Raw genomic sequence first — 18,279 nt, forward strand, 5'->3', positions numbered from 1 at the left:
ACGAGCACCTGTCATGCACTCCTCAGAGTTCATGGGCTTCTCCCTCTTTAGTCCGTTGTTGAAAAAAGTCCACATTAATAATTCAGCCCAGCTCTGTTGTGGGACAAACAACCCGGAGTGTAGCAAGGTGCCGCATATTTGCAGGACAGGTTGAAAGCGTTCTGGAGATGGATGGGGGACATGGCTGTACAACGTGGTGGATGCACTTAACACCGCTGAATTTTTCCTTTGAAAATGGCTAAAATAATAGATTTTGTATGTATTTTACCACAATAAAAAATCAAACTGGCCGGGTGTGGTGGCTTACACCTGTAATCCCAGCACTTTGGGAGGCCGAGGCGGGTAGATCATTTGAGGTCAGGAGTTCGAGACCAGCCTGGCCAGCATGGAGAAACCCCATCTCTACTAAAAATGCAAAAATTAGCCGGGCGTGGTGGTACATATCTGTAATCCCAGCTATTCTGGAGGCTGAGGCAGGAGAGTTGCTTGAACCCGGGAGGCGGAGGTTGCAGTGAGCCGAGATTGTGCCACTGCACTCCAACCTGGACGACGGAATGAGACTCCGTCTCAAAAAAAAAAAAAAAAAAAAAAAATCCTTGTGAAATATTTTGGACTCTTATACTAATTCCAACATTTTGAAGATCTGGGGAGAACAAACTAGATTGGTGCTTTCCTTGGCTTAGTATGTCCTGTTTTTATAGGGAGAGCAAATTATTGTTCACCAGCACTATTAAAGTGGCTACAACAGGATGGGCACGGTGGCTCACACCTGTAATCCCAGCACTTTGGGAAGCTGAGGTGGGAAGATCGTTTGAGCCCAGGAGTTCGAGACCAGCCTGGGCAACATGGTGAGACCCTGTCACTACCAAAAATACAACAACAACAAAAATAGCTAGGTGTGATTGTGTGCACCTGTAGTCCCAGCTACTTGAGAGGCTGAGGTGGGGGGATCACTTGAGCCCAGGGGATTGAGGCTGCAGTAAGCCGTGATTATGCCACTGTACTCAGCCTGGGTGACAGAGTGAGACCCTGTCTCAAAAAAAAAAAAAAAAAAAAAAAAAAACTGCAGTGGACTCAGTGATCATGAGGCCAGGCACTGTACACATGTACATCATCTCATTTAATTTTTCCTCTTGTTTAAAATTATTTTTTCCTCTAATCCCCATGTTGATCAACATTTTTTTAATCCTAGGAATTTATTACTTGAAAATTTCGCATAAGAATTAAAAATTGCCTGGCGCGATGGCTTACATCTGTTATCCCAGCACTTTGGGAGGCTGAGATGAGAGAATCGCTTGAAGCCAGGAGTTTGGGCCAGTCTGGGCAATATACTGAGAATGCAACTCTATAAAAAAATTAAAAACCCTGGGTGTGGTAGCGTTCACCTGTAGTCCCAGCTACTTGGAAGACTAGGTGGGAGGATTGCTTGAGCCCAGGTGGTAAAGGCAGCAGTGAGCTATGATTGTGCCATTGCACTGCAGCCTGGGTGACGGAGTGAGACTCTGTCTCTAAAATAAATGAATAAAATTGTGGTATAATATATGCAACATTTACCATTTTGTACAGCTGTAAGTGTACAATTCAGTGACATTCTGTACAATTATCATGTTGTGCAATTATCACTACTTCCTAGTTTCAGAGCTTTTTCAACACCTCAATTGGAAGCCTCATACCCGATTCAGCAGTCACTCTGCATACCCCCTCCTGCAGCCCCTGGAAACCTCTCATCTACTTTCTGTCTCTGTTGATTGGCTTAGTCTGAGCATTGCATATAAATGAAATTGTACAATATATGACCTTTCATGTCTGCTTCGTTCAGTGAGCAGGTATTTAACGTTCATATCACACCATGGATAAGTTTTATTTTCTTTTTAGACCCTAACTAAAAAGAAAAAAATTGTAAAAAACAAAAACAAAAACAAAAAAAGAATATAGGATGGAGATCAGATGAGTCCTGCAAAGCTGATAATATTTACTGTCTAGCACTTTACATAGAAGCTTGCCTACCTCTGAATGATATGCAGGTACAGGGATGACATTTATCTTGGCACTTATAGAAAGACCTGTACGTTGTATAAAGATGTCATCATTGGATTTCTAGTAACAAGAAGCGGCAAGACATGACGGTGTGTCCAGGTGTTCAGGTGAAGTTTAGGGAAGGTCTTGTCTTGACGAGGTCGGATGTGAGACCCAGATGAGATAACCCCATTTCCCCTGCTGAAATTGCCTGAGAATTTCTTCCAGCTATTTGTGTGGGTAGATTCTTTCGGTGGGGGTGGGGTGGGTGAGGAGGTGAAGTGTCAGGGGAGTTCTATTGTGTATTTGCACAACTTGGCTTTCTTTTCACTTGGTGTGGTGTTTTGCTGTATGAGGAATTTCGTAGAATTTTGTGATGAGTATGCAGCGTAGTGGTTTGAATCCTGCCAGGCCGAGGGTCATATGTCAGCTCTGCAACTCATTATCTGTGACGCCTTGGGGCAGGTCCGATCACTCTCCAAGCTTCTGTTATATATTCCATGGGGTTGTGAGGTTCAGATGAAATAATGCATGCTGGCAGGAATGGTTACTGCTCATGGGATTTCCATGTGCTCCCCGTATTCCCCAGATCTCCAATAGTTAGATGGATCCATGCCAGGGTCCAATGCTCTATAAGTGGAAGTCACTGACATCACCTCTAGTGTACAGCTTTTGAGGGCTTGGGAATAACTATCTCATTCTCTCATCTCCTGGTGCAGTAACTATGGGAGAATCCCTGCATTAAGATGGTAGAATTTCCATCATTCTAGGTCTTTGAGGGGCCATATGGAGGACACCATACCCAGCCAACCCATTGTGGACATGGTATGTAAGAAATCAACCTTGGTTGCTAAGCTGCTGAGACTCTGGGGTTAATTTGTTACTGCAGCATAACGTAGTCCATCCTGACACATGCAGCATGCAAACCACTTACGTTGTCCCTTAGTCATGGTAAGTGCTCCACAGATGTTGGTTACTTTTGGTAGGAAGATAGATTGCCTCTGAAAGTTTTGTTAGCTGATCTCATGATGCCAATGTTGCTATTTTGTAATTGGATAAATTGGACTTGGCTCTCCTTCCAGCATGTGGGAGAGACAGATGACTGAGAGACAATAAAGCACTATTATCTTCAGTTTGTGTCCTTGGATACCCTTGGTGGCAATGAACAATGTATGCTCCTCTGAGAAAACTGGACCTAAAGGAGAATGGGAGGTGATACCAGAATTGGGAATGTCCAAGGCCCCAGGCATTCCCTGGTCTGGAGACCACTTTGAGTCCTTGGTGGGAAGATTCTCAAAGGGAACATAAATGCTTTTACTATCTAGTTTGTCTCTTTGAGAATTAAAACTCTCTTTTTTTTTTTTTTTCCTTCCAGTAGCTTTTGGGGTAGAGTTTGGCTCTTTGAGAATTGCACACTAATTAATTTTAGGGGTCATGCGTACACATCTCTATATTCCTGAAACAGTAGAAACAGCCAGCAGTCAGGCAACCATCTACCATGACCACTAAAACATCCTCAAAGTGAAACACCAGATGTGATCCGCTAGGTTTAGTGGACGTGGCTGGCTCGAGAGTTGATTATATTCATTATCGTCACTGTGGTGATTGTGGCCACAACATTGTGATGCGTCTTGGTCTTCTTTTGGTGAGTTGCAGTTTGAAAGGAATAAATCCATTATTCTTTTTTTTTTTTTTTTTTTTTTTTTTTTGAGTCTCGCTCTGTTGCCCAGGCTGGAGTGCAGTGGTGCCATCTCAGCATACTGTAAACTCCGCCTCCCAGATTCAAGTGATTCTCCTGCCTCAGCCTGCCAAGTAGCTGGGATTACAGGCGCCAACCACCACACCTGGCTAATTTTTATATTTTTAGTAGAGACGGGGTTTTGCCATGTTGTCCGGGCTGATCTTGAACTCCTGACCTCAGGTGATCCACCTGCCTCAGCCTCCCAAAGTGGTGGGATTACAGGCGTGAGCCACCATGCCTGGCCCCATTATTCATTTAACCAATATCTATTGAGCACGTTCGGTGTGGTGGAGGATGGACTGCAGGGGAGGGAGGAAGCCTCGTCCTGCCACTATGTTTTCAAGTTGTCCTAATACTCCACCATGGGACACACAGGCTTGTGGGTCCCAGAGCTCCAGAAGCATCTCCCAACCATACCATCCTGACCCAGATTCTACCAAAGAATACGTGAGTCTAGCAGAGCCATCTCTGACACTTCCCTTCTTTTGAATGGCTGATCTGTCAGTCATGGGGATCCCTTATGAAAGTGCAGTGTGCTTTGTGAAACTTGAGGTTGATCAAAGAATACCAATAAACTTTGTTAAGAAATCTACATATTGATGACATAGGCAGTGGGGTAGAGGTGGGGAAATTCCCAAATACATTTTAGAAATTATCTCAGAGGGAGGTAATAGTCAGAACTCTTGGTTGCCAGTGACAGAAACTCATCTTACTAGTGTGGAGTGGAAAAGGGATCATGTTTTGGTCTGCACTCCCCAACCCCAACCCCAAGCAGATCCTGAAAGAGGGACAGGATTGCAAGTGGATTATTTAGGAGATGATTCTAGGGAACACCAAAAGGGGAGTGAGGAACTGATTCATGGAAAGGCAGGAGGCCACAGAGGGGGCTTTAATGAGCAGCTTACCATTCCAGGCAACTAGGATTTGACCCCACTGGGGACCTCGGGGAGGTGATGTGGAATACATTTCAAAGTTGTTCCATCCAGGGGGCAAAGATACTGAAGCATTTATAGCCTGGCTCCCATCTGTCACTGGCTGAGGAGTGGTCCCAGGGCATCAACTTTCTGGCTTTTCTTTTTTCTTTTTTTTTTTTTTTTTTGAGACATAGTCTTGCTCTGTCACCCAGGCTGGACTGCAATGGCATGATCTCGGCTCACTGCAACATCTGCCTCCCAGGTTCAAACGATTCTCTTGCCTCAGTTTCCTGAGTAGCTGGGATTACAGGCGCCTGCCACCCTGCCCCGCTAATTTTTTTATTTTTTGTAGAGACGGGGTTTTGCCATGTTGGTCAGGCTGGTCTCGAACTCCTGACCTCGTGATCCACTTGCCTCGGCCTCCCAGTGTTGGGATTACAGGCGTGAGCCACTGCGCCCGGCTTCTGTGGCTTTTCTGACATACTCCATGCCTAACTTTGAGAAGGCCCTCAGGTGAAAGTCTTGGTTGTATGCAGTAGCAAGCATGTACTAGAATGATAAAAACCAGGGGGCTTACCACAAGATCTCTCTCTCCATCTCTGGATGGAGACACCATCAGATCTCTCTCTCCATCTCTGTTTCTAGCTTTGTCTGCATACTGGCTTAATTTCTTCTTACTCAAGCCTTTTCTCCATAAGGCAAGAAATGTGGCCACAAAAGCTCCTGTATTTCTCACTACACACAGTTCCTGTCATCACAGAGAATGATTAACTTGGTCTAGTGCCAGTTTGGAAAAATATTCAAGGGAAGAATTCTGATTGGCCAATTTAGGCCAGATGCTCATCCCTGGACCAATCAACTGAGGCCAGAGGGGTGGAGTCATGTGAGAACATGGCAGCCCCCATGACAGCCAAGTGACTGGAGTAGGAAGTGTGAGTCTCCATAGAGGGGAGGGCTGCTAGGCTGAAAAAGCAATAGATGTCCGCAGTGAAAGGAATAGATTAGGAGACACATTCTGTTAAACCTGTTAATTATTAAAAAAAAAACTTTCAATATACAGTTACAGTATACGTGAGCCGGTGGCTCACGCCTATAATCCCAGCACTTTAGGAGGCCGAGGTGGGCAGATCAGAGGTCAGGAGTTCAAGACCAACCTGACCAACATGGTGAAACCCTGTCTCTACTAAAGAAAATACAAAAATTAGCTGGGCATGGTGGTGCGTGTCTGTAATCCCAGTTACTCAGGAGGCTGAGGTGGGAGAATCGCTTGAACCCAGGAGATGGAGATTGCAGTGAGCTGAGATCACACCACTGCACTCCAGCCTGGGCAACAGAGTGAGACTCCGTCTCAAAAAAAAAAGTTACATTGTGGTTCCCTCAGCACGATTTATCAGAAAGGAGAAACTTACTATATGTATATTTCCTATGCACAGGCTACTGCTATGAATTCAAATTCTTAAATTCCAAAGATTAATTACAATGTTTCTCAAGACACATAAACTGTGTTAGAGTCTGCTTATAATGAGGCTGAAGTTGAGTAAGAAGAGAACTGGCATTTAGGACACTACTTTTCTTCTGTCGAGTACTGTCAAGTTTAGGTTCTGCCTGGAAGTAGATGCGCCTCAAGGGAGGGTTGCATGTAAAGGGGTGTGTGTGTGTGTGTGTGTGTGTGTGTGTGTGGTAGTTTCCAAAGATGGGTACAACTTTCTGCAAACGCTCGTGCAGTGTAATTGAACCAATCTTTTCTTTAAGAGGTAGAGTTTATATTCCTCTACATGAATCTGGGCTGCCTATGACTTGCTTTGGCCAGTGGAATGCTGCCAAAGTGATAGTGACCAACTTCTAGCCGTGAAAGGAAAATAAACCTTGGGGCCCCAAGATCACTAAGCTAGGCCAGGCTTGGTGGCTCACACCTGTAATCCCAGCACTTTGGGAAGCTGAGGAGGGCAGATCACCTGAGGTCAGGAGTTCAAGACCAGCCTGGCCAACATGACGAAACCTTGTCTCTACTAAAAAATGTGAAAATTAGCCAGGCGTGGTTGCAGGCGCCTGTCATCCCAGCTACTCGGGAGGCTGAGGCAGGGAAAATTGCTTGAACCCTGGAGGTGGAGGTTGCAGTGAGGCCGAGATCGCACCACTGCACTCCAGCCTGGGCAACAGAGTGAGACTCTGCCCCGCCACCCCCTCCCCGCCCAAAAAAAGTTACTAAGCTAGAGAAAAGTCAAGCTGGGAACTGCTCAGGGCAAACCTACCTCCCATTCTATTCAAAGTCACCCCTTTGCTCACTGAGATAAATGTATATCTAATTGCCTCATTTGGAGAGGCTAATCAGGAACTCAAAAGAATACAACCTATATACCATGGAATACTATGCAGCCATAAAAAATGATGAGTTCATGTCCTTTGTAGGGACATGGATGAAATTGGAAATCATCATTCTCAGTAAACTATCGCAAGAACAAAAAACCAAACACCGCATATTCTCACTCATAGGTGGGAATTGAACAATGAGATCACATGGACACAGGAAGGGGAATATCACACTCTGGGGACTGTTTTGGGGTGGGGGGAGGGGGGAGGGATAGCACTGGGAGATATACCTAATGGTAGATGATGAGTTAGTGGGTGCAGCGCACCAACATGGCACATGTATATATATGTGACTAACCTGCACCATGTGCACGTGTACCCTAAAACTTAAAGTATAATAATAAAAAAAATTATAGAACTAAAAGGTACAATAACAAAAATTAAAAACTTGCTAAAAAAAAAAAAAAAAGAACACAACCATTTGTCTCTTAACTACCTATGACCTGGAAGCCCCTCCCTGCTTCGAGTTGTCTCACCTTCACCTGGAGTTGTCCCGCCTTTCCAGACTGAACCAATGTACATCTTACACATATTGTTTGATGTCTCATGTCTCTCTAAAATGTGTAAAACCAAGCTGTGTCCCTACCGCCTTAGGCACATGTTGTCAGGACCTCCTGAGGCTGTGTCACAGGCGTGCATCCTCAACCTTGGCAAAATAAACTTTCTGAATTAACTGAGACCTCAGATTTTTGAGGTTCATATAGTCTTAGGCCTTGAGAGCCCTCTCGTAGTTTCCATATTTTTGCCCTCTTGGATGCTGGCACCAAGCAAGCCTTGACTATCCTGCTTAAAGTGCCATTTGGAAAGGGGCTCTGGAGGGCGAGGGGCCACATGGAGGAAAACAAGGCTCCCCGGCTGACAGCCAGCACCAACTGCCAGGCACATGTGTCAGGCTGTCCTGGGTGTTCCGCCCAGCTGGCCCTCCAGCTGCAGGTAGCCACACAAATGAGCCCAGGTTAAACCAGCCAGGAATTCCCCATGCAACTCACAGGGTCATGAGCAATAATGACTTTTGGTGGTTTAAAGTTTCTAATTTTAGGTGCAATAGGTAACTGAAATAGCCCACAAGGGTGTGAGCCTGTGGAGGGTGCATTTCCCACCTGCTGAAGCTTCTCAATTCCCAGGATCCAATCCGGATAAGACTCTTGTTCTCAGTGTCCTTGATGGAAATGGCAATGAACTTTTTGCTGATTGGACCATCTCAGGGGAATCCCAAAGATTGGAAACTATTTTCTTTCTTAGAATCTTCCACACAGCATTGAGCCTTAGGAATTTGTAAGAAGGATATGGAATGAAAAACATCTTTTGAAAAGGTATTTGTGTAGCTTCAGTTCAGCAAGATTCATGGTGGGTATTAGACTAAGTGCTGGTGTTAAGCCAAACCGTGTTTTTCAAAGACTCATCTGGCCTCAAGGTTGGCAGGATCAGAGTGGCCTCCCAGGATCTATCACATCCTCAGAAGGGTGGGTTCAACTGGCATGTACCCAGATCTCTGTCAGCTAGTATGATACTCCCTTGAGTCAAAGGCTGCCACATCACATCTCCTTTAAGTCCCTCTCAGTACGACCCCAGAAACATTGACAAAATGTGCTATTAGTAAAGATTTCAGGAGGACATAAATGAAGAGATTATATTGCAAGGTACCAAAACTTCCATCTTTGCTAAAGACCCTCATCCAGGCTGGGCACGATGGCTCACGCCTGTAATCCCAGCACTTTGGGAGGCTAAGGTGGGCGGATCACCTGAGGTCGGGAGTTCCAGACCAACATGGAGAAACCCCGTCTCTACTAAAAATACAAAATTAGCCAGGTGTGGTGGCACATGCCTGTAATCCCAGCTACTAGGGGGGCTGAGGCAGGAGAATCGCTTGAACCTGGGAGGTGTAGGTTGCGGTGAGCTGAGATCGTGCCATTGCACTCCAGCCTGGGCAACAAGAGCAAAACTCCATCTCAAAAACAAACAAAAAAACAAAAAACCCTTATCTAATGGTCATGCCACTCTATCTGGCCATGTAATTTCTCCTCCTGGCTTTCTGTAGCAACAGCCTTCTGAGGAACCTCACTCTGCCTTTCAAAACCGCTTCAACTTGTACCCTTCATCAGCAAAGTATTTAGCTCAACATGTATGCCTCTGGGGGAGCTCATCCACATGTCATTTAAGGATATTTCCAGCAACATCATCTTCACTACCCCGGGACAGTCTTTTAGAGTGGATTATGTGCCTGTTGGATGGGGTCATCCTTATATTCAGCACAGTGTTTGTCCTGAAACTTTAATGGAGTGCTCCTAGTTTGATAACTTTTGCCATGACAAATAAATTGAATTTCTCTGTCTTAACAACAGATGTTTGAATACGGCCCCATGTCCCTCTCTGCTCCTTCCTGCCTTACTCCTCTCCTCTTCCTTCCCTTCCTTTTCAAGAGCAGGGTTTGTAAACTTTTTCTTGAAAGCATCAGATAGTAAATGTTTTAGACTTCGTGGGCCATACAGTCTCTTGTAGTAGTTTCTCAACTCTGCCACCCATAGCATGAAAGCAGCTGATATAGTTTGAATATGTGTCCCTGCCCAAATTTGATGTTGCAATGTAACCCCCAGTGTTAGAGGTGGGGCCTGGTGGGAAGAGACTTGATCATGGGGGTGGATTTCTCATGAATGACTTAGCATCATGCTTTTGGTCCTGTCCTTGCAATAGTGAGTGAGTTCTTGCAATATCTGGTTGCTTGTGAGTGTGTAGCACCTCCCTCCTCATTCTCTTGCTCCCGCTTCACCTTCTGCCATGATTGTAAGTTTCCTGAGGCCTCCACAGAAGCTCAGCGATGTCAGTGTCATGCTCCCTGTACAACCTACAAAACTGTGAGCCAATTAAACCACTTTTCTTTATACATTACCCAGTCTCAGGTATTTATAGCATGAGAGAACAGCCTAATCCAGCAGCCACAGACAATATGTAGCAAATGGGCATGGCTGTGTTGCAATAAAACTTTATTGACAAAAACATGTGCAAGCAGGTCAGATTTGGCCCATGGGCCGTAGTGTCCCAACCCTTGCTCTGGAATATTCTCTTCAGCCTGGATGGACATCTCTATGTGTTTTTTTTCTTTTTTTTTTTTTTTTTGAAACAAAGTCTCACTGTCGCCCACACTGGAGTGCAGTGGTGCAATCTTTGCTCGCCGCAACCTCTGCCCCCTGGGTTCAAGCAATTCTCCTGTCTCAGCCTCCCAAGTAGCTGGGATTACAGGCATCTGCCACCACACCTGGCTAATTTTTGTGTTTTTTAATAGAAATAGGGTTTCACCATGTTGGCCAGGCTGGTCTCCAACTCCTGACATCAGGTGATCCGCCCACCTCAGCCTCTCAAAATGCTGGGATTACAGGCGCCTGCCACCACACCTGGCTAATTTTTGTATTTTTAGTAGAGATGTGATTTCACTATGTTGCCCAGGCTGGTCTCGAACTCCTGATCTCAAGCCATCCACCTGCCTCTGCCTCCCAAAGTGCTGGGATTACAGGTGTGAGCCACTGCAGCTGGCCTCCAGATTTTTTTTTTTTTGACGATTGCTTATTTGTTTTGACTTTCATTTTCTTCCCCATCGTGGTAGCCATTTTCTGAATGCCTGTTAGTTTGTCCGTCTCCCTCCTCTGTAGTCCCTAGAGTCAGATGAACTCCTCTGCAGATGCAATGGTGTAACACTCTCTAGTGCTGAATTTTGAGCAGGAGAAAGAGAGCAAGAGTGACCAGCACCCTTGGAAACTGGCCTCCTGAGAATTTGGAGTCTTCTCTGCAAAGGTTGCAAACCTGTTAACCCACAGGCCAGAGAGAGAGAGAAGCCAGAAGCATGATCTGTTAAGCTTGAGTTTAATATTTGATGCACAGAGATCACTGAGTTTTTTGATAAGAATTAGAGGAGAAGACACGGCCACAGAGAACAATTTCTATCCCCAGGTGAGGATTCAGGAGATAATTCTGGGAACAGAACTTCCTGAGAACTGAGATGGGGGAAATCGCTGGTGTTAGAAGGGTGAAAAGGTCAGTAATTAAGCCTACGACTGTGCTCTGAGAGGCGAAAGAAGAAAATGAGACTGCCAGGCAGGAATAATGAGAAATCTTTGATGGAATTAGCCGTGCAGAACAGATACTAAATGCATCCTCATTCCTCTCATAGTCAAAAGTTTTTGCTTAAGCTGGATGGGAAAAAGAGAATCCCTTTTCACTAAGTATAAAAGAGAGGATTTTAGAGAAGGTCTCAGAAGAAAGAGATGTGGGGGTTTGGTGAAACTCACCAGAGGCTGAACCCTCTCCAGCATAACACAGGGATTGCGAGGAGCGGGGTAGCATTAGGCCAGGTGCATAGCCCAGTGCTGCTCTCTCTGGACTTTCTGCTCTCTCTGGACTTGTTTGCTAGCTGAGCTCATCCATTTGCATAATTTTCAGTTCCATTTCTCAGCTGATGAGTCCTGAACTTTTCCCTTGAGGCTAGACTTCTCCTTCAAGCAGCAGTCTTAAACACTCAACTTCTTTCTTGTTTTTTCCACTTGTCATCTCATGAACACCTCAACCTTGTGACATCCAAAGCCAAACTCGTGGCTTGGAGGAGTAGGTGATGGCTGTAATCCCAGTGGTATGAGAGGCCGAGGTGGGAGGATTACTTGAGGCCAGGAGTTTGAAGCCAGCCTGGGAAACACAGTGAGACTCCCTGTCTACAAAAAAAAAAAAAAAAAAAAAAAAAAAAATTAGCTAGGCATGGTGATGTGCATCTGTAGGATCTGGAGTCCTGCTACTTGGGAGGCTAAGGTAGGAGGATCACTTGAGCCCAGGAGTTTGAGGCTGCAAAGAGCTCTGATCACACCACTGCACTCCAGCCTGGGTGACAGAGCCAGACCCTGTCTTAAAAAAACCCAAAGCCAAACTCTCCTTTTCCTCCTCCTTCTCCATGGGCTCTGTCTGTGCCATCTCTGTTCTGTAAATGGCACCACCCCCTGCTCAGCTGCTCAAGGTGGTCATAACTCATGTGTTGTGCTAACTCTGCTTTTGCCCTCTTCTCCAGTCAGCAAGTCCTGTGATTCTAAACTTTATCCAACTTGTCCACTCTCTCTATCTTCACTGTCGTTATCTTTGCCTAGGACACCCTTATCCCAGCTGGGCTACAGCAGCAGCCTCCTAACTGGTCTTAACTGGTCCTCTGCACCTGCCCTCCATGCTCAGCAATCCATTTCCCACCTGGCAGCTTCACTGATCTTAAGGTTTCCATTGATTCTCATCCCTGCCTTTCCTGCCCATGGCACATAGAATAAAATCAAGACCCCGAGTCTTCTGCCTGTTCCTGCCACATCTCCAGCCCTCTCCTATCTCCTCCCCTTGGCCTACTCTATTTCAGCCACTCTGGCCTTCTTTTGTTTTCTTGGACTTTCAAATCTTTCTCCACAACAGGGCCTTTGCACTTGCTGCTTCAGCCTGGAATGATTTTCCTCTGCACCTCCCCAAATTAGACCATCCTTTAGGTCTCAGCTAAAATGGTGCTTCCACAGAGAGCTCTTTCCTGACTGCTTTGTAAAGTGGACTTCCTTGCTCTTCTCCACCTTAACCTCTATTATTTCTTGTTGCAGGAAGTCAGGGACCCCAAATGGAGGGACTGGCTGGAGCCGCGGCAGAGCAACATAAATTGTGAAGATTTCATGAACATTTATCAGTTCCCAAATAATACTTTTATAATTTCTTATGCCTGTCTTTACTTTAATCTCTTAATCCTGTTATATTTATTAGCTGAGGATGTACATCACCTCAGGACGGCTGTGATAATTGTGTTAACTCTAAAAATTGATTGTAAAACGTGTTTCAACAATATGAAATCAGTGCACCTTGAAAAAGAAGAGAATAACAGCGATTTTTAGGGAACAAGGGAAGACAACCATAAGGTCTGACTGACTGCAGGGTCGGGCAAAAAGAGCCATATGTTTCTTCTTGCAGAGAGTCTATAAACAGACGTGCAAGTAGGAGAGATATCGCTAAGTTCTTTTCCTAGCAAGGAATATTAATGTTAATACCCTGGGAAAGGAATGCATTCCTGGGGAGAGGTCTATAAATGGCTGCTCTGGGAATGTCTGTCTTATGCTGTTGAGATAAGGACTGAGATACGCCCTGGTCTCCTGCAGTACCCAAAGGCTTACTAGGGTGGGGAAAAACTCCGCCCTGGTAAATCTGTGGTCAGACTGGTTCTCTGCTCTCGAACCCTGTTTTATGTTGTTTAAGATGTTTATCAAGACAATACGTGCACCGCTGATCATAGACCCTTATCTTCTGCTTTTGCCCTTTGCCTTGTGATCTTTGCTGGACCCTTACCAGTAGTTCTGCCTTTGCCCTTTGTCCTGTTCCCTCAGAAGCATGTGATCTTTGTTGGACCCTTATTAGTAGTCCTGCTTTTTGCCCTTGGAAGCATGTGATCTTTGTACCTACTCCCTGTTCTTACACCCCCTCCCCTTTTGAAACCCTTAATAAAAACTTGCTGGTCTGAGACTCAGGGGGCATCACTGTCCTACCGATATGTAATGTCACCCCCAGCGGCCCAGCTGTATAATGCCTCTCTTTGTACTGTCTATTTCTCAGGTGGCTGACACTTATGGAAAATAGAAAGAACATACGTTGAAATACTGGGGGCAGGTTCCACCAATACTTCTTTCATGGATTTACTTATTTTTTGTTTGTCTCCCTCCATATCCTAGAAACTCCTGGAGGGCAGAGTCGTGCCTGCCATCTTCATCATTGCATTACCAGCACCCAGCACAGTGCCTGGCACAAAAGAGTTGCTCAATAAATAAATAAGGATGAATGGATAAATACACGGATAGGCACTTTGAACTACAGATGAGCTTAAATACTTTGTGTTTTTCTTAGGCAAACATGTGCAATTAAGCATGTGATAAATGATATGACCACACCTGTGTCTTGCCTGATGTTCTTTGCAATCACTATATGAAGTCAATTGTGCCTGTTTTCACAGTTCTGTTTTTAACCTAATGATCTGTTTCTTTTAACTTCTGGCATTTGCTTTGTTTGGCCTTTGTTACTTTGTCACTTTGTTAGCCTGACAAAGTGACAGATATTGGTATTTACTCTTTGGTTTAAATGTCATGAACTTTAAAAATGCCTTTGCTTTTGGTAAGAAACCCTAGTTAGGACAGTCTAGCGGTCGGGATGATTTGGGTTCTGCTGCAGTAACAACAATCCCCAAATCTCAGTGGGTTCATGCAGTGAGGTATTTGTTTGTTTGTTTTTGAGACAGGGTCTCACTCTGTCACCCAGACTACAGTGCAGTGGCGCAATCTCAGCTCACTGCAACCTCTGCCTCCCAGACTCAGTGATTCTCGTGCCTCCTGAGTAGCTGGGATTACAGGCCCGTGCCACTATTTTCTGGCTAATTTTTATACTTTTGGTAGAGAAAGGATTTCACCATGTTAGCCAGGCTAGTCTTGAACTCCTGACCTCAAATGATCCACCTGCCTTGGCCTCCCAAAGTGCTGGGATGACAGGTGTGAGCCACCGTGCCTGGCCACAGTGAGGCTTATTCTTGGTCACGTTGCATATCTGGGCTGTGTTAGGGCATTGTGGGGTGGTCTGTTCATTGTGTTCACTCAGGGATCCAGGCTGACAAAAGCCCCATCTCTGCATGTGTCATTGATCACCACTTCAGGGGAAAGGGAATGTGGTGGATCACAGAGCCTCTTAACACTTCCACCTGAAGGTGACTCAAGTTGCTCCTGCTCATGGTTCATTGGACAAAAAGGATCACAGAGTCACGGGCAACTTCTCTGTTTCTGGAAGGGGAACCAAAATGTGAATAGCTACATTGATTTTCCCTAGCTATTACACAGAAGGCCTCATTTAAACACAGCTACTTATTTGTGTTTTGAAGCTAATTGTAGTCTATCAACCTTCACAGAAGGTATGTGCACTTCCAAGCTATTATTAAGCACAGTTTTTTTTTTTTGAGACAGAGTCTCACTCTCTTGCCCAGGCTGGAGTGCAGTGGCATGATCATGGATCCCTGCAGCTTCCGCCTCCTGGGTTCAAGTGATTTTCATGCCTCAGCCTCCCATAGTGCTGGGATTACAGACACCTGCCACCGTGCCTGGCTATGTTTTGTATTTTTAGAAGAGATGGGGTTTCACCATGTTGGCCTGCTTGTCTGGAACTCCTGACCTCAGGTGATCCACCTGCCTCTGCCTCCCAAAGTGCTGAGATGACAGTCGTGAGCCGCCGCACCCAGCCTTGAGTATGATTTTTGATTCGGAAGGTCAGAGTTAGGGTTTTAGTCTGAGGACAGTATGGTGTGAAGGTGAAAAGCAGAGCTTGGCTGTGAGTTTGCTGGGATTCCTGTGCTGCTTCTACAGCTCTTTCGCTGTGTGACCGTCACCTTTGGCAAGTTCCTTTACCTTTCTATGTGTCGGTTTCCTCATCAATAAAATGGAAAAAATAATCGTAATCATAACATCTATTGGTGTTGGGATAGCCCAGCGGTTGACACATAAGGACTCAAAAATAGTTTTTTGTTTGTTTGTTTGTTTGTTTGTTTTTTTGAGACGGAGTCTTGCTCTGTTGCCAGGCTGGACTGCAGTGGTATGATCTTGGCTCACTGCAACCTCCGCCTCTTGGGTTCAAGTGATTCTCCTGCCTCAGCCTCCCAAGTAGCTGGGATTACAGACGCCCACCACCACTCCCAGCTAATTTTTGTATTTTTAGTATAGATGGGGTTTCACCATGTTGTCCAGGATGCTCTCAATCTCTTGACCTCATGATCCACCCACCTCAGCCTCCCAAAGTGTTGGGATTACAGGCATGAGCCACTGTGCCTGGCTCAAAAATACCGTTATTAATTTTTGGGGGTAGTTACTATATTTTGTCAAAATCAGAGTTCAATACCTTGTAACACTGGGTTGGGAACTATCCCTGAAGGAACAGGCTTGTAAAGAGGAAGGCTTGGAGAGAGGGGCACAATTTTAGTGGATGTTGTAATGAGTTTAGGTATATGGACCTGGGGCTGAATTCTAGCTGGGGCCACCAGGTAGCAAGATGGACTTTGCTAAATTCTATCACTTTCCTGGGCCTTGGGCTCACTTGTTACAAATGGGGTTAAAGCAACCCTCTTTCAGGGGTAAGATAAAGATGATTAAGTAAGAGGGAATGAAAGCAACTTCCATCAGTGGTCAAAAGTGTTTGTTTAACTACTTCTTTTTTTTTGAGATGGAGTCTCTCTCTGTTGCCCAGGTTGGAGTGCAGTGGCATGGTCCTGGCTCACTGCAACCTCCACCTCCTTGGTTCAAGTGATTCTCCTGCCTCAGCCTCCTGAGTAGCTGGGACTACAGGTGTGTGCCTCCACGCCTGGCTAATTTTTGTACTTTTAATAGAGACAGGGTTTCACTATGTTGGGTAGGATGGTCTCGATCTCTTGACCTTGTGATCCACCTGCCTTAGCCTCCCAAAGTGTTCGGATTACAGGCATGAGCCACCACGCCTGGCCCGTTTAACTTCTATATTACTTTCCTGTTGGTGGATTTACCAGTGCAAACTGAGCAGCTTAAAACACCACCCAGTTATTATCTGTTTTCATGAGCCAAGGGTCTGGGTGGGGTTTAACTGGGTCTTCTATTCAGGGTCACAATACTGCAACCAGAGTGTCAGCTGGAGCTGGGGTCTCATTGGATGCTCAGGGTTCTCTTCCAAGCTTATTCAGCTTGTGGAGTGAATTCAATTTCTTGCAATTGTTGAACGAAGGCCCTCAGCTCCTAGAGCTGCCACCTCCAAAGACAGCTCACAGCATGGCCATTTGTGTCTCCTTGGAGGCTAAGAGTTGGATCTCTGAAACTTCACCTTTAAAAGGCTCACCTGATTAGGTCTGGCCCACCTAAGATCATCCTGCTTTGGATGAACTCAAAGTCAGCTGAGCAAATGTACTTAACAAAGCAAGTGTGACCTTAATCACATTTGCAAAATTCCTTCCCCTTGGCCATATCACAAGCTCTGGACACACTCAAGAAGAGGAGATGATACAGGGAGCAGATACAAGGGAGGGGGTCTCTTGGGGGCTGTCCTAGAACTCTGCCCATTACAACTTCCTTTCTCGAGGAACAGCAGGCCTGGGGACCGATGATCACGGATGAGCGCAGCCCACAGGTGGTGAGCACCTGGTGCTGGGGTAGGATGCAGGGGGTTGCTAAGCAAGTATGAAAAGCGTTCTCTGGGCCGGGTGCAGTGGCTCACGCCTGTAATCCCAGCACTTTGGGAGGCCGAGGTGGGCGGATCACAAAATCAAGAGATCTAGACTATCCTGGCCAACCAACATGGTGAAACCCCATCTCTACGAAAAATACAAAAATTAGCTGGGCGTGGTGGCTCACGCCTGTAGTCCCAGCTCTTTGGGAGGCTGAGGCAGGAGAATTGCTTGAACCTGGGAGGCACAGGTTGTAGTTAGCCGAGATCGTGCCACTGCACTCCAGCCCGGGTGACAGAGCGAGACTGTCTCAAAAACAAACAAACAAACAAACAAAAAACAAACCTTGTCCATTTTGTGGTTCTGTTGGGGCTGTGCCTTCGCAATCAGCCAAGACCAGGGTAAGACCAGGACGTTTGGATTCTTTGTCTCCTGATACAGTGCCTGCAGGCCCCCTGCTATGCCAGCTTGAGACCCACCAGCTGTAAGTCGGAATCACCTGGTGCCACCGTCAGAGATATAGGTGAGCAGTCGGTGGTGGGAGTTACAGTAGCTGAACAATACCCAGGATGATTCTTCTAGTGGCTCTGCAGATGCAGGCAGGCAGGCAAAGGAAAACAAACCTCCAGTAAAATCAACCCTAGGGAGAAAGTGAATTTTAAGGGGTGATGTTTTTTGTCAGAATCTGCCAGCTGTTAGAGGCTCTTTGAAACAAAACGAGTGCTGTCTCGGCTCTGCAGAAGGAGGCCCAGGGAGGTTGCCGTGATGTGCCAAGAGTCAAATTACCGAGCACTTGTGCGGGAAAATAGCCTCTTCTTATTTACAGGGCTGTTGGGTACACTTGATAACAAGCAAGATAGAAGTTAAGGTCGGCCAGAGACACAAAGCCACTAATCCTGAGGTCTCTTGGTCCCTTTCAGCAAAGCCTTGAGCATAACAGGGTCCCTCCTAGGGAGTGAGCTGAGAGGGTCACTGTGAGGTTCCTTTCAGAGGGGTTGTGACAGATGCCCACAGCTCTCTTAATGGGACTGCGGTGG

The 18,279-nt window shown here is 45.9% G+C and overlaps 1 annotated feature.

The window, feature by feature from the left end:
- Positions 7,862-8,141: an enhancer, noted in NCBI's record as "active region_10351". NCBI's record gives its function as "activates an Ori minimal core promoter by ATAC-STARR-seq in GM12878 lymphoblastoid cells {active_cell/tissue: GM12878}" and the evidence as "EXISTENCE:reporter gene assay evidence [ECO:0000049][PMID:35858748]".

This window comes from Homo sapiens, chromosome 16, assembly GCF_000001405.40.
Source record: "Homo sapiens chromosome 16, GRCh38.p14 Primary Assembly".
NCBI lineage: Eukaryota > Metazoa > Chordata > Mammalia > Primates > Hominidae > Homo > Homo sapiens.